The sequence below is a fragment of the Homo sapiens genome, chromosome 5 (assembly GCF_000001405.40).
Source record: "Homo sapiens chromosome 5, GRCh38.p14 Primary Assembly".
NCBI classification, from domain to species: Eukaryota; Metazoa; Chordata; class Mammalia; order Primates; family Hominidae; genus Homo; species Homo sapiens.
In genome coordinates this window covers 172,658,040-172,682,708 of record NC_000005.10, presented here as the reverse complement: position 1 = coordinate 172,682,708, position 24,669 = coordinate 172,658,040, and the positions used below count along the sequence as shown (strand labels likewise).

At 50.3% G+C, this 24,669-nt stretch overlaps 1 protein-coding gene and 1 non-coding gene across 4 annotated transcripts in view, besides 3 other annotated features; both read right to left on the bottom strand.

The window, feature by feature from the left end:
- The window catches only part of NEURL1B (neuralized E3 ubiquitin protein ligase 1B), a 50,278-nt gene that overhangs the window by 8,832 nt on the left and 16,777 nt on the right, over positions 1–24,669 (bottom strand). For 2 of the 3 annotated variants that reach the window (NM_001142651.3, NM_001308178.2), the window contains exon 2: positions 12,379–12,924. The exons of the other annotated variant lie outside the window; for it this stretch is intronic. In NM_001142651.3, the coding sequence (NP_001136123.1) occupies positions 12,379–12,924 (546 nt within the window). The remainder of the gene's footprint in view (positions 1–12,378; positions 12,925–24,669) is intronic. 3 annotated transcript variants of the gene reach the window in all.
- Positions 4,547–5,131: an enhancer, noted in NCBI's record as "H3K4me1 hESC enhancer chr5:172104581-172105165 (GRCh37/hg19 assembly coordinates)". NCBI's record gives its function as "activates a minimal SCP1, AML or CMV promoter by ChIP-STARR-seq in primed H9 embryonic stem cells {active_cell/tissue: H9 hESC(primed)}" and the evidence as "EXISTENCE:reporter gene assay evidence [ECO:0000049][PMID:30033119]".
- MIR5003 (microRNA 5003) lies at positions 20,446–20,544 on the bottom strand. Its single transcript, NR_049799.1, has one exon. It is a non-coding gene; the product is annotated as a microRNA 5003 (primary transcript).
- Positions 22,515–22,604: an enhancer, noted in NCBI's record as "active region_23639". NCBI's record gives its function as "activates an Ori minimal core promoter by ATAC-STARR-seq in GM12878 lymphoblastoid cells {active_cell/tissue: GM12878}" and the evidence as "EXISTENCE:reporter gene assay evidence [ECO:0000049][PMID:35858748]".
- Positions 22,900–23,894: an enhancer, noted in NCBI's record as "H3K27ac-H3K4me1 hESC enhancer chr5:172085818-172086812 (GRCh37/hg19 assembly coordinates)". NCBI's record gives its function as "activates a minimal SCP1, AML or CMV promoter by ChIP-STARR-seq in naive H9 embryonic stem cells {active_cell/tissue: H9 hESC(naive)}" and the evidence as "EXISTENCE:reporter gene assay evidence [ECO:0000049][PMID:30033119]".

Sequence of the window (24,669 nt, the reverse complement as noted above, 5' to 3'; positions counted from 1 at the left end):
CACTGCTGTGTTCACAGCACAGAGCACAGTGCCTGGCCCTGGATAGGTGTTTAAGCATTGACAGAAAAAAGTCTACGGGAGATTGAGTCAGTTGATAAAACTAAATGAAGGGAAAAGAAATTTTTTTTTTTTGAGATAGAGTTCCGCTCTTGTCACCCAGGCTGGAGTGCAATGGCGCGATCTCGGCTCACTGCAACCTCTGCCTCCTGGGTTCAAGTGATTCTCCTGCCTCAGCCTCCCGAGTAGCTGGGATTACAGGTGCCTGCCACCACTCCCGGCTTAATTTTTGTATTTTTAGTAGAGACGGAGCTTTGCCATGTTGGCCAGGCTGGTCCTGAACTCCTGACCTCAAGTGATCTGCCCACCTTGGCCTCCCAAAGTGCTGGGATTATAGGCGTGAGTCAGCACGCCCGGCCGAAGGGAAAGTTCTTTAAAAGTTACAGTTATGAAAATATTTTAAAGTACTTTTTAGTGATTTGAAAAAATGTTCTTCATATGACATAGGTAAAAAAGCAAAAATAGTGTTTATCATTTGGGTAATACAGGTATTCGTACTTTAGTAGATTACCTGTTTATTTTCTGCCTCCCTAGCTGGAATATGAGTCTCTTGAGGGCAGGGTCTGTGTCAGTCTGGTCACCACCATGTTCTCAGGGCTTGGCAAATAGCCTTCACTATTAATAGTTTATTGGATGAATGAAGGAACGACTAAGGTCTAGAAGAGACTGCTATGCTAAATAACAACAACATCAGGAAAGAGTCATTAAAATATTGTGAAGGTGTTTTTTAGTGATACAAACATTTTTGTTTACCATAATAGGAAAATAAGTGTTTTAGACTTTTTAAACAGACCACTTTGAGCCAAGATTTTGTTAAATGTTACCATTCTATAGTGTCTTGAAAAATATTTCCTCTTTAGTTTTCCAAATATGAAATGAAATCATAAGAATGCACATGCTTTTTCGAATTATGCCCCAGGCCCCGGTGGGTCCAAATGCACCCCCTCAGACACCTTTCACTTAAACTGGATTTATAGCACTTGGGAAACCAGTAAATCTGGCAGTAGGACCTGAATTCTGCCCTGGCCACAATGGGCTAAAGAAGCTTGCCCTTGTATTGAGGTGGTTTGATCTCTCTTGATGTGCCTGAGGTGGCCCTCTTCAAGGTCTCAGCAAAAGGGGTCAGCTACTTGTTTGGACTCTGGGCATCTGAGTGTGTATGCTTTGCCTTAGCGAGGGTGCTTCCCATAGCTCGAGGGAAGAAGTGGGGTTTCAGTTTGTTTCTTTAAAAAAGTACATATGTGTGCATTTGTCTACATCTGTCTGTATCATTTTATTTATGTGCATAGGAAATCAAGTGATGGAGAGACAAAATATTAATAGTAATTATCTCTTGGGGTGAGATCATGAAGGACTTTTCTTTAGATTTTTCTGTATTATCTAGTTTTCCTTCAATAAACTTGTATGCTACTGATATGGTTTGGATTTGTGTCCACCCAAATCTCATGTCAAATTGTAATCCCTAGTGTTGGAGGTGATTGGATCATAGGAGTGGACTTCCCCTTTGCTCTTCTCATGATAGCGAGTTCTCACGAGATCTGGTTGTTGAGAAGTGTAGCACCTCCCCCACTTCACACTCTTCCTCCCTCTCTGGCCGAGTAAGCTGTGCCTACTTCCCCTTCACCTTCTGCCATGATTGTAAGTTTCCTAAGGCTTCCCCAGCCGTGCTTCCTGTACAGCCTGCGGAACCAAGAGCTAATTAAACCTCTTTCTTTTACAAATTATCCAGTCTCAGGTGGTTCTTTATAGCAGTTCAAGAACAGACTAATACAGCTACAAATTTTTATGGGAAAAAATATTTTTAAAAATTGAGTTTTCAATTAATATTTAATAATATGGGAAAATACCTATGATATAACATCAAATGAACAAAACATTCAAAACTGAACACATGGTTTGATTCTACTTTTGTGGAAAATGTGTGCATAGGATTCATAGGAAAAATATAGAAATACATTAAAATGTGAGTGGTTATCTCTGGGTAGAAATTTGCTTCTTATAGTTTTCTAGTTTTCTCTTTTTCTCTAATGAACATAAATTGATTTTTATAATCAGAAAAAAGGCATATAAATAAAGGTAGAATAAAACAAGCACTTTTTTTGAAAAGGCATTTTAGACAAGTACGTGTTTCTGGAAGTGTCGGTGCAATGCACTTTTCCCAGGCTCCCTGCCCCACTCACAGTCGCCCGCCCCTAAAGGCGCTGGCCTTACTTGCCCTGCTCCTTCCCCCCCGCCAACTCTCCTCCTCTTGTCCCCCAGCGGCTCCACACAGGAGCCCATCAGTGCAGCATCCTTATTAAGAGCATGGCCTATGGAGACAGGCGGACTTAGATTCAAGTCCTGGCTTTGGCTTTTACTGGCTATGTGACCTCAGGTATGCCATTTCACCTCCCAGAGCCTCAGCTCCCTCAGCATAACATAGAGTGATAGAGTGATAGTGGTAAACACCCCCATGTTATGGAAATTACTGTCATGAAGAGTAATACAGAGCATGGCACTAAGTGCTCAAAACATTAATTATGATCATAAAAACGTATAGAGCACTCACTGTGGGCCCAGCGCTGCTGTGTGCTGGGTGAACAGAGGTGAACACACAGGCGTGGCTCCTGTGCTTATGGAATTCCCTTTCAAGTGGGAGATAAAGGCTCTACGAAGCCATCTTACAGAAAACTGGGCCAAGTGCCACCAAGAGCCTCTGTCCTATGTGGGGAAGTGTCAGTGGGGGAACTCTGAGGCTCCAAGAGGTCACACAGCTGGGGAGTGACAGAGCTGGGATTCTCTGAGGGTGTATAAAGGGGGACTAAGGCCAGAAAAGGCCTCCCTGACTGATCAACAGGCTGCGACCTGGAGATAAGGGATCTGTGGCCGGGCAGGTTCTCCAGGCACAGAGAACAGCACATGTGAAGGCACTGAGGTGCTGGAAGCTTGGCGTGTCTACAAGGCTGGGTTATAATGAATGTGACATTGTGCTGGGTACCTGGCACACGGCAGCCCCTCAGAAAAGGTTGCATGGCCTCACTTATTCTTTGTGGAAGGAGCTTTGTTCCTCTTGGGCATGGGCCCTGATTGAGACAGGCCCAAGACAGCACAGCGCCAGCCTAGGCCAGACACTTCAGAATGCATTGCTCAAAGGGGCATTTCTTCTAAGGAGAACCAGTCGGCTATAGGCAGAAATCCAGCAACATCAAGAGGCACCGAGGGAGCGTGTCGAGACTGCCCAGCTTCTACCGGTGGCTGAAACAAGTACACACATAACCACGTTCTCGAGCGCCTGCTAGACGCAGCTCCATACCCTGATGGTCCCCTTTGGTCCTCACCACTATCTTATGTGGCTCTGTAAAATGGGCACATTTCACAGTGGGAGAACACTGAGGCGCTGAGAGGTGGAGTGAGTTACTGAAGGTCACATAGCCTGGGGGTGACAGACAGGATTCCAGCCCAGGCTTTGACTCCAGAGCAAGGCCCCTGGCTAGCAATACTGCCTCCCAATGCTGCTGTTGTCGTTCAGCTCTGAGAGCAGCCCAGCACCGGGACTTGGCCTCCGGCCAAAGTTGGAGTTTCAGTCTCCACGGGCCTAATGTCCCCGCCTCCCTGCCATGAATAGCCACTGAGTACCAACACACTGCAGCAGTCCCCAGTCAGGTACGAGGAGGCTGGGACAGGCCCCTGACCTCCCACTCTCCCAAGCCACTTCCAGGGCCTAGCTCTTCCCTTTTTCCCCTCCCCTTTCTCTCTTAGGTCCAATATATCTGGGCTGGAAGTAAAGCAAAATGTATGTCTCAAATGAAACCATCTTGGTGTAGACACGAAAATGAAGGCAGGGACAACTGGGGACAGAGAAACATATCCATCAATCACCACTCTGTGGGACTGACTCGGGCCATGTACTAGAGGCAGAAATGACAGGACTCACTGACAGAATGGATCCAAGGCAAGGAAAAGAGGAATCGAGAATGACACCGGGTTACTGGCCAACCAAGGGGGTGGTGTCACTTACTGCCAATGGCCAACCAAGGGGGTGGTGTCACTTACTGCCAATGGCCAACCAAGGGGGTGGTGTCACTTACTGCCAATGGCCAACCAAGGGGGTGGTGTCACTTACTGCCAATGGCCAACCAAGGGGGTGGTGCTACTTATTGCCAATGGGGCTGGCTGAGGAGCAGGAGGTGGGGGATTCAAGAGTTGTGTCCGAGCATGTTCAGTGTGGGATGCCCCTCAGATGTAGGAGGAGAGGCTGGATAGGTGGTGGGAGGCCTGGGGTTCAAGGGAGGTGTCAGGGCTGGGAAGATGGGTTTGGGAGTCAACAGTCTAGATGTGAAGCCCAATGATGGGCTCAGATAACTTGGAGAAAGAGGGCAGACAGACACAGGCTTGTTTTATGACAATCTGTTGAATGCTACAGTTGTTCTTAGATGCCTTCCTATATGCATATTGTATTACACAATTTAAGAAAGTAAAAAGGAAAGAGTGGGCCCAGGATAGAACCATGGGGCTTTCAACATAGGGAGGACAGGTAGGGCGAGGGGTGGCCAGGAAAGCAGGAGGAACGGCGGGAGCTCGGGAAGGCCCAGGAGCCACAAGCAGCAACATTCACACAGCCGGGAGAGGTCACCTGGGCTGAAAGCGAGGGGCCCGGTAGTGGGCCCAGGATGTAGGCTCAGGGTCTGACAGGCTGAAGGTCAGTGATGGGCAGGGACTCACGCCTCAGGGCACAGCTTAAGAGGGAAAAGGAGAGGGTGGCATAACCAGCACTTAAGAAAGACCTGCCCTGAGGGAGGGAGGGCAGAGAGACAGGACTGTGGCTGGTGAGGGGGCTGATGGAGGGTGTTTTGAAAAGACGGACGCCACCGGGGCTCTTCTGTGTGCTCATGGGGGTGATTCCGTGGAGGCGGAGGAAGTAGACAAATGACAGGAACCATGTCTATGAGCAGGCAGGAGGGGACAGGAGCAGAGCTCCTTATCCACGGCCACGGGGGGAAGGCCGAGGGGGTGGGCACCAAGGGAGAGGGCTTGAGGTTCTAGGAAAAAAGATGGCAAACACTGGCCTTGGTGTGCTGGGGCATGACCTGGGTCTGTGCGCCACTGACCTCGTGCTTTTCCAGATGCCCTTCTGCCAACCAGAGAAGGCTGGACTGCAGACACAGGCCTCGGTTGGACCCTGGCCAATTCTGGCTGTGACCTCAGTTTCCCCACTTGCAAAGTGGGGACCCTCATCCCATCTTAGTGGCCTGTGGGGAAGATTAAAGAGGGCAGAACAGTGGGATCACGATGCACCCAGCTCCGTGCCTGCATAGAACAGGCCTTCAGAAGCCCTTGGTGGGACAGGCTGGCGGCCATGCAGCGGCGGTCTCGCTCCAGACTGAGAAAGGACAACCCTTCAGGACACCCTGCCATGCAAATGATTTACGCTGGGGTGAGGAGGTGGGTGCTGGCCTGGTCTGTTTGGAAAAAAGAACATTAACCGCAAAGCTAATGACTCCGCGTGGCTCCCACTGGGGCTCTGCCTGAAGCCAGCAGCACAGCAGCATTCCTCCCGGCCCAAGGTGTGCTTACAGGCCCCTCACCGAGACAGCCCCTGGGTCCACACCTCCCTCCCCCACCGTGGCCACTGACCAGCTGGGAGACCTTGGGCAAGTCCCTGCCTTTCTCTGGGCCTCAGTTTCCTCTCCTGCAGCCTGGAATGGTGCGCTCAGACCTCCGAACCCTGCATTTAACTCCATAAGTTCAGGTCTTTATCACACACTTTGTTTATAACAATAATGAACAAACTCTGACTTTAGGACCACCAACAGTTATGCAACCTTGGCCAAGTTCTCTATCCACGTGGAGTTTGCAAATGAGTTTCCTGCCTCACAGGATTCTTGTAAGGAACAGAAGACATGACCCACATCAAGCTCTCAGCATTGTGCCTGGCACAGAGTAAGTGCCTAGTAACTATCTTTAACAAGGGATCTCAGTGCTTCCAAGCTGGGCAAATGACACCTTTCCAAGGCCCATGCAGGACTGTTGTTTCTGGCTGCCTGGCATCCACTCCCCTTCTCCTGGTAACAGCACCCAGCTTTTCTTTGGAGGGAACTGCCCCACCCCCACCTCCCATTGCCTCAGGAGTCAGGAGGGGGGCCTTAACCTGGCCAATCACTTCATCCTATGCCCCTGGCCATGGAGATGGGTTCAAGGATAGGCATGTGACCCAGGCCAGATCCATGAGGCTACATCTAGAGATGACAGGCAGACTTCTAGGAAAGCAGCTCTTCTGTTGGATTTGTTAAGCTCGTGGGATGCAAGACTGGAAATGCTGGTGGCCTTTCCTCCACCCCAAAGGGACAGTCCAGCTGAGGATGAGGCCACCAAAGAAGATGGCAAAATGAGAAATGAAGACAGACAAGTATTCCAGGTGCAGTTCTTTGGGTCCCCGCATTGAGCCAGGCTTAAAGGCAACCATTCCCAGGAATTTTCAGCCACATGAGACATTAATGCTTCCTCTTTTTTTTTTTTTTTCCTTAAGTGAGACTGAACTGAGTTTCTGTCCCTTGCAACCAAAGATTTCTGACAATATGGTCTGCTATGCCATGACCCCCGACTGGCATTGCTTTTTCAATCTGACCAGCTTCCCACGACTGGGCAAAGGAAGGACAGCAGGGCTGACACTGACCACCCTGGAGCTGCCTAGGAAGGAGGGCAGGGCTGCCTCAAAAAAGCACAGGGCCTGGCCTGAACTCGAGGACCTCCAGAAAGGGCTTCCATAGAAAAGAGACATAAGTTGAGTATCCCTGATCTGAAAATCTGAAATGTGAAATGCTACAAACTCTGAAGTTTTTGGGCACAAAACATGAAAAAACACTAATCTAGAATCATCAACAGTGATTTTCGGATATCAGATTAGTGATGCTGAAATGTTAACTATAATACAAATATTCCAAAATCCAAAAACGTCTAAAATCTGAAATGCTTCTGGTCATAAGCATTTCCGACAAGGGATATTCCACCTGTGATAAATGCTTCCTGGAGCCACAGGGAGAAGGGAGGGAAGGGAGCGCATGGCCTGGCAGAAGCTTCCTCTCCTGGCTCCAGGAACTGCTAAATTCAGCGAAAAGTAATTTTCCTGCACTCAGTCCCTTCTCTTTGGCCCTGAGGAGCATCTCGAGAAATCTAAGCCTCTCAGGATGGACCCACTCCAGGACCCGCAAGCCCCTCCTGATCTGTACCCCAGAGACCATTAAACAAGCATAGAGCAGCCCTGAGACAATGCACCCTACAGTACTGTCTGTGTGTGTGGCTTGGGGGATTGGTCGTAATCCAGGTGTCCATCAATGGGCAGGAGCCACGAGGGAGAAAGGAACCAGATAGGCATACCACAGTACAGATAGATCCTAAAGAAGGGTGAGTGGAAAAAGAAAAACAGAATAAGGTCCTTAGCACAATACCATCCACATAAGCATATAAAACAAATCTACCTATTTTTAAAAGATACATTCGGCCAGGCATGGTGGCTCATGCCTGTAATCCCAGCACTTTTGGAGGCCGAGGCGGGCGGATCACCTGAGGTCAGGAGTTCGAGACCAACCTGACCAACAGGTACCCAGTAGAAACCCCATCTTTACTAAAAATACAAAAATTAGCCGGGCGTGGTGGCAGGCGCCTGTCATCCCAGCTACTTGGGAGGCTGAGGCAGAAGAATAGCTTAAACCTGGGAGGCAGAGGTTGCAGTGAGCCAAGATTGCGCCACAGCTCTCCAGCCTGGGCAACAGAACGAGACTCCAAAAGATACATTCATGGGATTATGAATCAGAGTGATGCCTACCTGGTCAGGAGAAGACATGAAAAGGAGTGGGGATTGGGGATGAAGCGAAAAAGTCAAAGCAAGAGACAGGGTCTACATGGCCCAATGAGTCTATCCCCTGGACAGAGGCGTCCGAAGAACTTGACTCCCAAGGTTCCCAAGCAGGGAGGGAGGAAGGAAGGGGCAATGTACACCTATGCAAAGGGAATCGTTAGCACAACCCTGGCAGCAGCTGGGGGCCCTTAAGAAATCCTAACACCTGGGTGCCACCCCCAGAGGTTCTGATTTAATTGGTCTGGGTGCAGCCTGGGAAGTGGGATTGTCAAAGCTCCCCAGGTGAGCACAATGCGAACTAAATACTGCCGCAGCAGTCTTCCAGTCCAGGCTCTGCCACTGACCGTCTTGGTGGTTCTAAGCTAGTCACTTTCCTTCTCGGGACTCTGGATTCTTTACCTAGAAAGGGCACCCCACGGTCTGGCCCCATAGATGCAGCACTCACTGCTGCAGCTGGACTCTGTGCAGGAGGATACTGGGCTGGGCTCAAAGTTCCACCAGGCAAAAAAAATATGTGAGGCCTACGAGCCCTTTTTTATTTCTGAGACTTTGGCTCGAGGGCAAATAAAACACACCCCAGCCCCACAAGATGGGGTGGATGCTTCTTAGACAAGGATTGCCAGATGAAATGCAGGATGCTCAGTTACATGTTTTTATTTAATTTAATTTTTTTTTTTTGAGATGGAGTTTTGCTCTGGCACCCAGGCTGGAGTGCAATGGTGCCATCTCGGCTCACTGCAACCTCTGCCTCCTGGGTTCAAGCGATTCTTCTGCCTCAGCCTCCCAAGTAGCTGGGATTACAGGTGCCTGCCACCGTGGCTGGTTAATTTTTTGTATTTTTAGTAGAGACAGGGTTTCACCATGTTGGCCAGGCTGGTCTCGAACTCCTGACCTCAGGTGATCCGCCTGCCTCGGCCTCCCAAAGTGCTGGGATTACAGATGTGAGCCACCGCGTGTAGCCACATTTGAATTTCTGATAAATACACTTTTTTTTTTTTTTTTTGCATAAGTACGTCCCAAACATTGCATGGGATACGCTTGTACTAAAATTTTTTCCTAATTAGCCAGGCATGAGCCTGTGGTCCTGGCTACTCGGGAGGCTGAGGCAGGAGGATTCCTTAGGCCCAGGAGGTCGAGGCTGCAGTGAGCTGTGTTCATGCCACTGCACTCCAGCCTGAGCAACAAGAGTGAAACCCTGTGTCAAAAAAACTTTTTTTTCCTTGTTTATCTGAAATTCCAATGTAACTGGGTGTCCTATATTTTTATTTGCTTGATTTGACAACCCTACCCAGATGCCACTTTTGTTTGTTGGTTTTCAGGTTTTATCCAGTGGGACCTGATTGTGGTGAGGGAGGAATGAAGAGGTCTCAGGGGTTTTCAATTCTAGAATTTACAACTGAGCAGCTCTAAAGGAACCATGTCAGCCCCTTGTTCCTTGTGATGGAAAGGAGTTCAGAGTGCTCAGGATAGCACAGAAACTGGCTGTCTCTTTATGTTTCCATTGGGTACCTTGGACACCACGTTCAGGAAGCCAAATTCTCCCAGGTATTGGGAGATTTTGGGTGGGATTTTTGATGTTCTCGTGGTGCCTCATCCTGTCCTGGAAACAGCAGGGTATTTGTCTCCTGTACTTAAACCATACAAAATCATGACTGCTTAGCTTATTTTTATTACAACATTTTTCCTGATTATAAATCACTGTTATTTTGGAAAAATAAAAAGTCACTCATAATCCCTTTACCCAGATGTATCCAATGACAACTCGCTTTTCCTCTGGGAAGAAAATAAACATTCATTGAGCCTCAATCACGTGTCAGAAACTTCCCCTCTATTATCTCATATAACCTTCAGAAAGGACAATAACCTTATTGCTCTTTCTGACTGTAAAAGCAATACAAGCTCTTTCCATATATGTATTTTTTAAAGGTGACTCAGAGATATAAGGAAGTAAAATTCACCCATTATCTCATCACCCATGGATGAAATTCCTTCTAATACCATTTTCTTCTTTTATATATGTTTGTGTTTCCTGCAGATCATATGAGGCAGATTAAAAAAAAAAGGACAGAATAATTTTGTGATCATTGTCCTGTGGCACCTGTGCCAGGTAGTTTCCATCAATAAGCACAGCTCAGGGACGACTTGTAGATAAGGGAAGCTGAGGCTCATGTCTGCCATGTCACAGTGGTGTTCCAGCAGACTCTACCTCTCCCTTCCTAGAATGTTGTAAGGAGTTCAATAAGAGTTTGCTGAATAAGGAAATAGAGTGGGGGGGGGAGAGTTCACCTCACAGATTTATGCAATCTCATTAAGTCATCAAAGGCTGCTTCCAATTTGTATTTTTAAAAATCCGAATCCACTTGAGCTGATTATGGAGTGGCTGTGATTTCTTGGCTGTTACTCAAAGACATGGGCTGCAAATGAGCAGGTGAGTGAGGTGGGATTGCTTCCCTGCTGGATAGGAAAAAAGAGCTCCAAAAAAGATGATGGGAAATCTAGGAGGTTTCAGAAACCTGCATCTCCTGGAGGTGAAATACCAAAGCCTTTCATGGAAAAGAGCATGAGGGGACATAGTTAAAACGCCCAAGTAGGCTCCAGCTTGGAGGGTGGGTAGCTCTTCACAATCTGGTCTAAGCCTGGAATTTGGACATGTGCTCCGGCTCACTTGCAAATAGGCAGAGCTTCTTATTTCTTAGCTGTTATTTCTTGAGTGCCTTCTCTGTGTCAGGAACTGTGCTGCATCCCTTTCAGACATCATCTCATGTAACCTTATCAACAATCCCATGAGGTGGGTGCTATCTTGTGCCCATTTTGCAGATGAAAAAAAATCTGAGGCACAGAAAGTTTCAGTTACCTGGCCAAGGCCACACAGCTGGCAAGTGGAGAGTCAGTTCTAGAACAGAGGTCTATGTGATCCAACACCCTGCTCTTGACCACTCAGATGTTCCACTGTCTTCCTACTTCTGTGGGTTGGGGCATAGCTTGGATGCATGAATCTTTCCTCCTTGCCCAATGGTGGGGTAATGAAGGGGATGAGGTAGAGGATCAAGAATCCCAGGCCAGGGTTTTCCCACAAAATGCAGGGCTGAAAAGCCAGAAACAGCCCAAACATGCAGATATACAAACTCTGGTAATCCAGTTCATGGGCTACTACTTAGCATACTTAGCAATAAAAAGGAACGAACTACTGATACAGGAACAATGTGGATGAATCTGAAAAATACGATGCTGAGATAAAGAAGCCAGATACCAATGGATAAATACTGTGCGATTCCACTCACATGAAGTTCAAAAACAGGCAAAACTAACCTATGGTGAAAAATCAGAACAGTGGCTACCTCTGGAGAAGAGAAGGCTTGACTCAGAAGGATCACCTCTGGGGTTACGGACAGGTGCATCAGTCTGTCAACACCTGCAAACCTTTAGATCCATGCATTTCAACACTGCACATAAGCTACACTAAGCTACACCAAGAGCTGTGTCCAGATTCCCTGACAAACCTGCTCTCCCTTTACTCCCCTAGAGGTCGAGGCTGGGCTGGTTCCGGTGCAACCTGTAGGTTCAAGAGCTAAGGTCTCAAACAGAAAGCAGATGAGTGGTTGCCGGGGCTGGAGCGAGGGGAGAACAGGGAGTGGCTGCTTAATGGGTAGGGTTTCCCTTTGGGGTGATGACATGTTTTAGAACTGGATAGAGGTGATGGCTGACAACTATATGCCACTCAGTTGTACACTTTAAAATGGTTGCTGTTCTATTATGTGAATTTTACCTCAATTTTTAAAAAAAGGTCTTGAGATACAGGTAGCAAACTTCTACTCCCATGAATTCTCACCATCAGGATTTGGGCATTAGCCGCTGCCTCCTCCGTGAGAATCGGGCTCACACCTGTCAGCCTCCCCAGCACCTCCAGCCCCTTAATGTGGGCCGGGGTTCGCCACACCTAACTCCTCTCTGCACATGCCATGGAGGTACTCCATGGGTGTTTGTGATTAGAGCCTAAGTTTGACGCTGAATGAGTGAATGAACGACTAAATGAGCAAATGGAAGCGTGTGAATGAATGGGTGAAGGAGTGAGCAAATGAATACATGTGCGAATGAGTGAATGAGTGAATGAATGAATGAGCAAATAAACTAGGAAGTGAAGGAATGAGTGAGCGAATGAATGAATGAATGAATGAGCAAATAAACTAGGAAGTGAAGGAATGAGTGAGTGAATGAACCTGGGCCAGAGCATGGGTTCAAACCATGTGGGTTCCAATCCTGGCTTTGCAGCACAAATGATTTAACCTCTCTATGCCTCAGTTTTCGCATCTGTAAAACCGGAGGGTAGGTTGTTGTGAGAAATAAATTAGTTAAAAGGCGTAAAGCGCTTAGTGCCACGCCTGGCAAAAGGAGCTCTCCATAAGTGACTGTGGCTACTAATGAAACACACACCCACGCGCAAAGGCACCGCTGCCAGGTCCCCAGGGGGCGCCGCGCCCGCGACCTACCCAGAAGCTGCACCTCGTCGGTGATGCCGTAGACATCAATGAGCGCCCAGAGCGGGCCGCCCACGGCCACGCCGCAGTGGAAGAGCACCGGCTCGCCGTCGTTCACGCTGTAGAACACGCGGCCGTGGCGGTCGGCCCAGTAGGCCAGCACCGTGTCGCGCAGCGCCAGGTTCTCGGGCAGTGCCTTGGCCCAGTAGCCCGGCCGCGTGACCAGGTCCGGGCAGGCGTACTTGGGGATGTCCTGGGCGCTCATGAGCGACGGATCGTGCGCGGTGAAGCCGAAGCGCAGCGCGCCGCTCCAGCCAGGGCGCACGGCCACCAGGCGCAGCCGCACCTGCTCGTACAGCCGGATGGGCCGCTGCGTGAACGTGACGCCATTGCAGAAGCTGTTGCGCCGTGTGGCCCGGCGCGAGTGGCCGTCCAGCCGCACGTTCTTGCCTTTGGCCTGCGCGTGGAAGCGCGGCGCCTCGCCCAGGACCGGGCGTCGCTCGGGGCCGGGGCCGCAGCACGGCCGGGTGGCCAGGAGGCGCGCCGGTGGGCTCGGGTCTGCGGAAAGACACAGGCAGCACGGTTAGGCCTCCTCCGAACTCCTGCGGGCCCCGATTGGTCTTTACTTAACAATCATTTTCATTTGAAATTCCATTTTAACAGGACTGGTTACTGATAAACTTAAGAAGGTTCCAGGCTTGACCAAAGGGAGACCGACCCTAACTGGCCCTAATCTCTTTGCCACAGCAGTCAGCATACCCGTGCCACAGATAAGCGAACCAAGGTTTAGTGTGTGTGGTGAAGCACTAGAGCTGTTTCCCTGTCAGAGGCGCCAACACCAAGAGCCCACGACAGCCAGCCAGGGGCCAAATAACTTCTCCATCCCCATCAAATCCCTCCACAGCTACAAGGACCTCGCGGGGCCACCTCTGGGCCACAGAGTCCCTCCAAAAGCAACAGAGCCCTGGATTCTTAGGGTGAGTAGTGGAGATATTTGGCTGCTTTTCTCTGTGCAAATCATCCAAATAATACCTCCCCTACTTTTATTCAAAAGCTAAGACAGGTCAGGCAATAGAAACGGCCAAGGCAGCCTGAATCCCAGCTCTGGCACTTCCTAGGTGGGAGGTATGGGGCAGACTTGTCACTTCTCTAGCTTGTCTTTTTGCCTGACATGACTCCACTCACACAGCTGCTGAAAGAGAATGTGGATGAAATCCCTGGAGTACTACCTGGCACAGCGTGTGTATGTAACAAGTCATTAATAATATGATATTATTACTGATGATATATATTACTGAGGTTCCAAAGCACATCCAAGCCAGGATTCAGGGATTCCCCTCCCCTCAGCCACAGAAAATGAAGGCATTGCTTATGAGCAACGTTGGCTTTTCCGGAACGGACACCTTTGGGGTTCATTTCTAAAGACATTCTGCTCTGAAGGACCTGGGGAATCCCGGCGTGGTCTTTCAAAGGATCTGATCACAAAGCCAGGTGGCTCAATATCAAGTGGGAGTCTTCCTCTCCCCCTGCCTTTCCTTCTCCCATCCTAGGGGCGGTTCCTGGGGGGCTCTGGGATCCTGGGAGGTGGCAGGGCGGGAGATTACTACATGAATCTCTGCTGCTCTTCGCACAGCAGCTGAGTACAATTTTCATGGCAAATTCTCAGAAACCACAGGCCGCCCAAGGCACACAATGAGAAGAATGGCGACCCCAGGAATGAAAGACCACTCCTCCCACACCCAGCCACGGGGTGCACTGTGCTCTGGGCACACCACAGAGTGGAAGTGGGGGGGTTTGATGAATCCTGAGCCTGATGGGAGCTAGGGCAGGGGAAAATGAAGAGGGAGAGGCAATGATGAGGCAAACAAGACATGGCTCCCCTTCCCAGGCCCTGGGAGAAGGAAGGCCCAGTCACGGGGGGAGGAAATCACGCCTGGAAGCTGGGAGGCTCCTCTCTAAACAGAAGCCGCTGGCCCACAGAAGACAAAATATAAGGAATAAAAAAGCCAAGGTTCCACATTAGAAAGGAACATAAGGGGTTTCAGTCATTCTTTTACTTAACACATATGAAGGGAGTGTCTAGTATGTGCCAGGCACCATGCCAGGCACTGGGAATACAGCAATCACCAAGACAGACAAGGCTGTTGCTCTGATGGAGCTGACGTTCCAGTGGGCAAAGTCAGACAATGAAAAACGTACTCTTCCTGGAGGGAAACATTACAGAGTAAAATTCAGCCAACAAGGCGGGGCAGAGAGAGGTGTTTTCTTAGGACTTTGAGGAAGGGCCTCCCTGATGAGTGGCTTTGGAGCAGAGACCTGAAGGAGGTAAGCAAATGAGCTGGGAGGGTGGTTGGGGTAAGACCATTCCAGGTAGGAGGTACAGCAAGTGCAAAGGCCCTGAGGTGTCACTGAGAAATGACAAGGAAGCCAGTTAGCCAGAATGGTGGGAGCAAGGAGGGAAGCGGGTAGAAATGAGATCAGAGCTGGGGTGGGGGGTGGGGAGATCCTATTGTTTGATTTTTCTTTAACCATTTTACTCTGAATGCAATGAGACCTTATTGAAGGTTTAGAGCAGAGACATGGTAGGAGTGCTCAGGCCACTGTGTGCACAGTGGACTGCTGGGAGGCGGTGGCAAGGATGCTGGGGCCAGCAAAGCTACTGGATTATTCCAGGGCAGAGATCATGATGGCTCCTATTGGGGGTAGGTACCAGTAAAGCTGGTGGGAAGGGGTCAGATTCTGGATATGTCTTGAAGGTAGTAGAGATTTGAAGGTTTTCATTCATTTTTATGTAGGAAAATAGAAAACATTCAGTCTACTTGCTTTGGACATTTCAACTATATTTAATAGATAAAACAAATTGAAAAAGGCCTTTTGGATCTTTTCTTTTTTTTTTTGAAATGGAGTCTTTCTCTGTTGCCCAGGCTGGAGTGCAATGGCATGATCTCAGCTCACTGCAACCTCCACCTCTTGGGTTTAAGCACTTCTTCTGCCTCAGCCTCCCGAGTAGCTGGGATTGCAGGTGTGCACCACCATGCTTGGCTAATTTTTTTTTTTTTTTTTTTTTAGTAGAGACAGGGTTTCACCATGTTGGCCAGGCTGGTCTTGAACTCCTGACCTCAAGTGATCTGCCCACCTCGGCCTCCCAAAGTGCTGGGATTACAGGAATGAGCCACCATGCCCAGCTGGCCTTTTGGTTCTACAACAGACACTTGAATGGGAAGCAGAGTGGTGGTAAGGACAGGGTAGGGAGATACCAGTAGTAGATCCTGGAGGGCAGGGGGTTGTCCATGCCGTCTTTGGTTTCCCTGGGCTCAGCACACACCAGGCTTGATAAACACCAGTTGCTGCCTGTGTTACAGTTAGAGCTTGAGCAGACCTCAGGGATCATCTCCTCCAACAAGCCCATTTTACAGATGGGAAAATGGGCCAACAGAGGGAGAGGGGTCTGCCCAAGCTCAAGGTCAGTCAGGGTCAGGGCAGAAAACCCTTTCTTGGGCTCTTCTGGCCAGGCCTCCCCTGATGCAGGGAGGCAGAATATGGAGGTCATTTTCATGGAAGAAGGGTAAGGCCCACGAGGGGTGGCTGAGCACCACCTCCCTCAGCGTTGGGCCGTGGTGAAGGCCTCTGCCTTTCTACACCTCCCACCTACAGTTAGTCATGGGGGCACCTGCTGTTTCTGCCTGCCCAGTATCCATCCCTCTTTTTCTGGCTACTATGCTCCAGTTTTCCTTGGGAGATCTCGCTTTCCGCCAGCTAGTGGATCGACCTCACTCCAACTCTAGATACTAGGGTGGCCAATCAGATGACTGCAGATTTTTTGGCTAGGGGCGCCCTCTTCTGCTCTAAGCCAGGTTGAGCTGGGTTTCTGATACTAGCAACCAACAATGTCCTGACTGATAGAATCACCGCACATTCAGACACTTACTCTAGGTTGGTCATGTGCCATGCATTTCATCATTTAATCCTCGTAGTGTCTCTGTGAGGTAAGGACTACTGTTAGCCATCCCCAGCATGCATGACGAAATGGAGTTTCAGAGAGTTCAGTCACTTGCCCAAAGTCACACAGCTGGTTTAGTTAAGGGCAGAGATGAAACCAGGGATTGAAGCCAGGTGTGTGTGATCCCAGCTCTGTTTTTTTTTGGTGGTGGTGGTGGTGGTTGTTGTTTGTTTTTTACCATTTTACCATAGTCTCTCTGCCTTTTAAAAACCAACACAAGATGGATAGAAGGGCTGAGCCATAGACCCCTAAGGTAGGAGAGGGAGGCAAGAGGCTGCCTGTTGACCTCCTTCACCCCTGGGCAGACTTGCCAGGCACTGGACTGGCACAGGCAGCAGACAAAACGTTCATTCCACTGCTCATTCATTTCTTCATCCAGTTATTCTTTCTGCAGATCACACACATCCTGCCTTCGTGGAGATCTGAGTCTCTCCAGGTCAAGCAGACACACAGCTGAATGCCCAACGACAACAGGCGTGATAAAGACCATCTCAGGCGATGGCACCGGGGGGACTAGGGGCCTGGAGGAGGCCCTGGACTCAGTTAGGGGCTGGGAATAGTGGGATGCCCACTGAGCCAGGTCTCGAGGGAGGAGAGGGAGCAGAGGGGAACGGTAGGGGCAGAGGCAGGGGGAGGCTGGAATTTGGGGGGAGGGTAAAGTGATACGGTAGGTGTGGCAGGGGGTGTGCCAGGTTGGGCAGTCACTGCCTTGTAGAGGTGAGGGCGAGGGTGCTGCAGACACCGCAGGAACCAGGTGGGAAGGCCCTGAATGCCAGCCCAAGAGGCTCAGAACGCACTGCATGGGCAAGAGGGAGCCGCTACAGGGCTTTTGGCAAAGCAGGGCCACGGCCACACCTGCACTGCCTGTCAGGGAGGGGCCTCCAGGGCAGCAAGGAGGGTGGACGCAGAGTCAGGCTGTGGGCCATCTCTAGAACCACGAGGTTAAGAGGAATGGACAAATCCCAAGTGAGCAGGGGAAACAGCACCCGGGTGCAGACCATCGGCAGAGATAGCTCAGGGACAGCAGAAGCCTGTGCTGTCCACGCTCACGGTGGCCTTGTGCACGACACTCAGCTCCTGGTGCAGCTTCCCCCAGTGCCCAGCAGGCCAAGGCCCCCTCCAGCTGGCAAATCCTCCAGGAAACATTAAATATGACCACATATCAAAAGCCCTTCTGAGCACCAGCGTCCATGGCCACCCTTATTTGATTATTTTTATCTCCCCTCCCCATCACTGTTGTTTTCCGACCTCATCTCTCAGTCAGAGAGTTTCTTTACAGAAGGGCTTGGGAATCCCAAGAGATGTTCTTTAAGAGCGGCCTGCAATTTAAATGAATACTGGGGTGGAGAGAAGTACTGCCTTGTTTCTATAGGGGAAGCTTCCTGCAAAACCAACTATATGTTAGGATAAAATGCGGCCAAGTAACCAGCGAAGTTTACATATTTGTTTAATCTTGATTATATGATCTGACTTCCTTCAGGGAATAAGAGATAAACAGTCTTTATTTTTTTCCTCCCCAAGACCACAGCGCTGACGTGAGATAAAGAAAACTAGAGTTAAAAAGTTTCTAAGAGGATGTGTTATTTACACAAATGGAAGATGCTTAAAATAAAAGAAAAACAATAAGCAATCTCAAATAGTACACCAGCATCTGCTTTTAGCTGGGTTCAGGGCAAGTGGTTCCTATAAGAAACAGAAAAATGTGGAGGGTGGACTCCAAGGGCCCTGCGGATCATCCTAGTTTGGAGATGTCAGTGGCAAACCTGAACTTTATCATTGAAATTGCTGCAACAAACACAACAGCCACATCATAGAAAGTTCAGAAAAGAGGAGAAAAATCTACCCGTCCCCCCCACCCGCTGCCTCTCCCAACTTTTGCTCCCTGTCTCTGCATTTTTCATTGTCCCAGTCCTGATCCCACATGAGAACTGTGGGCTGTGCCCTCACGATGTACCATGGCTGTGCTGGATTTTTTTTGACACATGATACCAGCTAATTCTTAAAACAAAGCTTCACCTACAGGATTGGTGTCTCCATTTTTCCAGGAGAAAACAAGGCTCTAGGCAGCAAAGACACTTCCCTGAAGCTGCAAGGGGGCAGCGTTGAGATATGACCCCAGCCTGTCTGACCTCAAGCCCGTGCTTTTTCCCCCTGTCCTAACTTTCTTCCATAAGTACCACTGAAGTACTCAGTAATATAAGTAGTTTCCTAACTTTCTTACCATCAGAGTGCACAGACAATTTTGTGTCCTGCTTTTTGTTTTCTAATTCAACATTACATCGAAAGCATTTCCCCACATCGCTCCCAAGCCTTCTCTGCTTGTTTCATGGCTGCAGAATATTCCATCGAGGGCCAAATGTCCCCCACCCTTCGCCTCCTGGCAGTCACTACAGCCATTCCCCCAAAATGGCCAAGTCTGCGGGTGCAGAGATCCTTAGCTTCTGGCACCAGGACCAGACTCATACAGATACCCTGTCACTGGTAAATAATAATAATAATAATAATAATAATAAACAAATAAAACCTCTTTTGCCAGGAAGAGGTCCCCAAACCACGCCAGCGACTAAATCCCCTGGGCCATCCTCCCATGAAAGACCAAGGCCCTGCTGGCCTTGGGTGGGTGCTGGCCCCAGCCAGTGAGCCGTGCCCCCCACTTCTGACCAAGAATTGAGGCCAGGGACTCTAAGAAGAAGTGGGGGAGGTGCGGTTTCTGTGAGGTGGGGACTCAGTGGAGACCTTTGCAGTTGCCCTTCTCGTTCATAGAAGGGAGAAGGGACAGCCCTGGCCCAAATCCCATGGCTTTTTTTTTTTTTTTTTTTTTTGAGATGGAGTCTTCCTCTGTCCCCCAGGCTGGAGTGCAGTGGTGTGATCTTGGCTCACTGCAACATCCGCCTCCCGGGTTCGAGCGATTCTCCTGCCTCAGCCTCCTGAGTAGCTGGGACTACAGGCGCCCGCCACCACACCTGGCTAATTTTTGTATTTTTAGTAGAGACAGGGTTTCACCATATTGGCCAGGCTGGTTTCGAACTCCTGACCTTGTGATCCACCTGCCTCAGCCTCCCAAAGTGCTGGGATTGCAGGCGTGAGCCACTGCACCTGGTCAATCCCATGGCTTTTTAAGTTTTTTCTTGAGGCAGAGTCTTGCTCTGTCTCCCAGGCTGAGTACAGTGGCATGATCACAGCTCACTGCAGCCTCAAACTCCCGGGCTCAAGTGATTCTCCCACCTCAGCCTCCCAAGTAGCTAGGACGACAGGTGTGTGCCACCACACCCGGCTATTATTATTATTTGTAGAGTCAGGGTTGCTGGGGCTGGTCTCGAACTCCTGGGCTCAAGCAATCCACCCACCTCAGCTTCCCAAAGTACTGGGATTACAGGCATGAGCCACCATGCCCAGCCTAACCCCCATGGTTAATCACAGGCTGCTCCAGCCCCACCAAGACTAGAGGGCAGTGTCTTTCCAGCAGTTAGTCAAGGAAACAGTGCCCAGACTCGAAATGCATGGCAGAGATTTGGAGGGTGGGTGATGAGTGTCTGTGGGTGGTTAGGGAGGAGGGAACTCTGGCTGTCAGGGTCACCACTGCCCAGCCTTGGCAAGTCTTTCTGGAAGGCCGGTCAACATAAGAACTGCTTCCTGGGTGGCTCTGAGATTTACTTCATGGGCTCTGGATGAAAGCCTGTGCTTTGCTACTGATTTGTCTGAGAGCCTTGAGCAAGTCACTGTACCTCCCAGAACTGCAGTTTTGTCATGTCTAAATGGCACGTGACCTTAGACCCCTGTCTCAGGCTGCTGGCAGGGGCAATGAGAGCATAGAAAAATCCCGGCAGAAGTCCTGGCACATAGTAGATGTTAAATAAACAGCTATTCCCTTCCCTTCCCCATGGGAAATAACAAGTCCAACCACTGGGTAAGCCCCTCACCTCCATCTCTTTCATGCTTTTTATTTCTACATCACAGTTTGAGAGGTGGTTAAAAAGAGCACAGGCTTGGAGTCAGACCTGGGTTTAAATTCTGGTTTTGCTTATTTATTAGCTGTGTGATCTTGCGGTCCGTGTGATCTTGAGGTCCGTACTTAACTTCTCTGTTCCCCCTGCCCCAGCCCCCAACAACCTAGAAAAGTAGGAAAAATCATCTCTACCCTGCAAGGTTGTTGTGAGGATGACACAAAGCAAACTCATCAGACACACAGTGTGTGGCATGTAGTAGGTGCTCATTAAACACTTGATCTCCTCCTTTAACCACCTTATTTAGTTCCTTTGACTAGGAAAGGTTTATTCCTGGGTCAGAGATACCTACCTGTGGCAGCTGGGAAAATACGTTCTGAAACATTTTTCTCCCGTGTAGGGCTCATAACCTTGGCCAGCAGAGGCCTCTTGAAAACCCTGGGGTTGCTTCCCCTTGGTGTCCAAGGACAGAAGCCTATTTTTAAACTATGCCAGCAGGCGTCCTAAATGCGCCTTGTGCCATCCCCTGAATGGTCCCCACTCATCTCTCCAGCCTAGCCCTTCCTTTGATCTAAAAAGAGCCCAAGGAAATGGCAGTTACCGTCAGGAGGATGGCAGGAAGCAACAGCTCCCGATACTCTGGCCCCGAGACGCCGGCTTCCAGCCTGCTGGAGTTCCGCAGATGGCATGCTGGCTGAGGTTTTCAGCAGATTCCTCTCCACCAGGAAAGGGAATTGCCAAATGGGAGAATCGTCTATTCTGCCTCTTCCTTTGAACATGAGGATTACACTGGAGTTTCACTGGGCCTCTGCTATGTAGTGGGTACATGTCTTGGTTTATTGGGTTTAATCTTCAGGAAAACTCTGCAGAGTGGGTTTTACCACCTTGATTTCCCAGATGAGGAAACTGAGGGTCTGAGAGGACCAGGCTCATGCCCTTTCTTCCACCCCACCCCTTCTTCAAGGCAGCTGCCATAACTTTTGGGTTGGCGGGGCGTGGGGAATGGTTCATGGACCTTGTTAGAAGCAATAAAATCTATAGAGGCTTCCCCGCCAGAAACATACCCAGACTCCATGCACAATCTGATATTCAACTTCAGGGTTTCCCCCCAGAAACATACCCAGACTCCATGCACAATCTGATATTCAACTTCAGGGGCTTCCTGGACCTGGACCTTTATAACATGCGTCCTTGGACTGTAGACCTTGAGTGAGAAATCTCTGGTTCAAATGACATTTGCCCCAGTCCAAAATGTAAACCAGCACTGTTGGCAGTAGGAAGCAACATGGTGCTCATGTGTGTTGGGGTGAGGGGGGCAGGCTGTGCTCTAGAGAGAGGAAAAGGCAAGGCTGGTATTTAGCAAGGCTTCCCGCCATATCCAGAGGGGCCAAGATATCAGTCACCTTTGCCAACAAAGTTCCATTTTCCATTGGTGGGTTTAAAAGTGGGCTGGAAAAAAACATAACCAGGCTGGGCACGGTGGCTCACGCCTGTAATCTCGGCACTTTGTAAGGCCGAGGTGGACAGATCACCTGAGGTCAGGAGTTCGAGACCAACATGGTGAAACCCTGCCTTTGCTAAAAATACAAACATTAGTCGGGTGTAGTGGCGGGCATCTGTAATCCCAGCTACTTGGAGGCTGAGGCAGGAGAATCACTTGAACCCAGGAGGCGGAGGTTGCAGTGTGCTGAGATCGCACCACTGCACTCCAGCCTGGGCGACAGAGGGAGACTACATCTCAAAAAAAATAAAGAGAAAAGAAAAAACATAACCAACCCTTCCTCACCTCTGCCAAATGGGGCAGTGACAGGCACTCAGGAGACAGACACCAGCTTACTGGACTTTGTTCCCTTTTTCAGAGGCCTGGTTGGCCAGCATCCCCAAGGGAAAAGGGCCAGCCCGCGCTGGTAACTGCCACTCTGCTCCCTTTGCTTTGCAAACAAAACCCCGTCAACAGCTGCAAGGACATCCCAGAGAGGCCAGAGGTCGCAATGCTGCTTGTGGGGAGAAAAGCTCACTCCATCCAGGCCTAAGTGGCAGACCTCTCAGCTTGAGTGGGCTCTGATGCGAGAGTTCCCAGGGGGTGAGGTCATCCCGACGCCCCCTCAAAGCATGCTCAGCCAGGGCTGGGATTCCCAAGCTGACTCCGACCCTCTGCCGGGCCCCCTGACTGTGGTCTCTTCTTGATAAAGGGACCCAGGAAACTCCAACTTCAGAGGCGCCGGCTCCCAGGGCTAGGGCCCCACTGCAGTGAGAGGTGGGGGGAATGTGCCCTCATTCCTTCTCGAGTACATCACTTCCTCCTTCATCTGACATTTACAGAGCATCTGCTCTGGGCCAGGGCCCGCGCTGGCTGCCGGGTACATGCACTGACAAGTCACACACTGTCCCCGCCCCCTCGAGCTGAGACCAGCTGCAAGGATGGACATAAGCAGACCCCATGACTGCACAGGGTGGTGGCCAGGGAGGGCTGGGGCAGTGGCGACAGCTTCTCAGGGGAGCTGCTTTGCAGACTGAGGAAGCAGGGCTGGGAGGATGACAAAGGATGGGGAAGTGTGTTTCAGGCAGAGGGAACAGCACCAGCAAAGGCCTGGAGATGAGAATCAGCTGAGAGCACTGGGGAACTGTGAGGAGTACAGGCCAGAAGGGAGAGGGGAGGGTGGAGTGGGAGTCAGGGGCAGTATCACAAAGGGTCTTAAAGGCCATGCAGGGGAGGTTAAAGTCCTCCAGAAGGTTCTGGGGGCTGCTGAAGGGTTGGGATCAGGGAAGAAAAACTCCTGTGGATCCACCTCTCTGAAAAATGAGATTGAAACCCTGGGCCTTCCTTTCTTCCATGCCAGTCAAAGTGACCCAGCGTGGCAGGAGTAAGAAAACAGTCCAGGTTTTGAATGTCTCTTCCAACGGCTGACATGGTCCTGCCCCTCAGCGCCTGCTTCTCCTCCTGGCAGCCCCTGGCAGCTGCCCAGTGATAAGCTGGCTGAGGTTGCCAGGCCTACCGTTTCTCCTTCTCTTTGCCTTGAGGACAGCCACTCCCCCAGCCTGGGTGGTGCCCAGAAGCCTGGCTGCTCCCAACTTCAGCCCCAGGAGAGCACCTGCGGGGCCTGAAGGTCAGCATTTTTGGCACAATAGACCCACTGGCCCAAGTTCCCCTGGAGCAACACTGTTCTTGCTCCTGGACTGAAGAAATGTTCTTCACACCCCAACAGCTGGGCAAAATGTTTGCTGGTCCCAAGGTCTCTCACTTACATCCTGACCTACAAGAAAAAAGCTAGACTACGTATAAGTAGCTTAATCCACCTTCTGGCACAGAGGGTGAGCAATACCCTGGCTTGGTCTCAGGAAGGAAGCTTTGGGGGGGGGGGGGCGGGCAGGGGTGGTGGTGGATGTCATCAATCAGCTTGTTTTGAGCTCCTCAGAGGCCACAGTTTGGCGGAACTTGGGGACGAACAATAAGCAAAGCATCTACAAAAGGAAGAAAGTGACTGATTACAGCAGGGGGACGGAGCCCCAGGGCTGAGTGTCCCTGAGGCCTGAAAAAGAATTGGGGGTAGGGCCTGATGGGAGAGGCAGACCTCCCAGGGGACAATGGCCCCCCACCCATAGGACCTTGCAGGAACCTCCTGACGGTGATGGAGGAGGTGATGGCTACCAGACCCCCTCCCAGGGAGGAGGGCGGCTCTGAGAGATTGGGTGAGCTGCCCATGACCAGGAATTGTGGCATGGGTGTTTGAACTCATACCAGCCTGGCTCCCAAGGCTATGACAAAGATGCTATGGCTCCTGACGGCAAAGTGCAGAAGTCATCCCTGCAGGGAAGGAGGTCAACACAGTGCCTGACACAAGGTAGGTCAGCTAATGTCATCTTCCCAGCCACACTCGGCTCTGAGGCCCCCCAGGAAGTGACTCTGATGCGTGTCTCGTCCTTCTCTGGAGATGCAGCCTTCTCTTCTCTCTCCCCCTCACTCACCACGCAGGGCTTCCCCCAAACGCCTGAAAGCCTCATGAGAGCAGGTAAGTGTGGACTGAGGATGCCTGCAGGAAGCCCGCATGGACTTCTGCTCCCTTCCCCAAGAGGTAAAGGGCTACGTGCTTGGAAGGCATGCTCTGGAGCCTGTAGGGTCCAGCCCTACGGAGCTTAGCGGGTGTTCTCCCTGTGTGCGGAGACGAGAGATTGTAATAAATAAGACACAAGACAAAGAGATAAAGAGAAAACAGCTGGGCCCGGGGGACCACTACCACCAAGACGTGGAGACCGGTAAGTGGCCCCGAAAGGCTGGGTGCACTGATATTTATTGCATACAAGACAAGGGGGCAGGGTAAGGAGGGTGAATCTTCTAAGTGATTGACAAGGTGAAGCAAG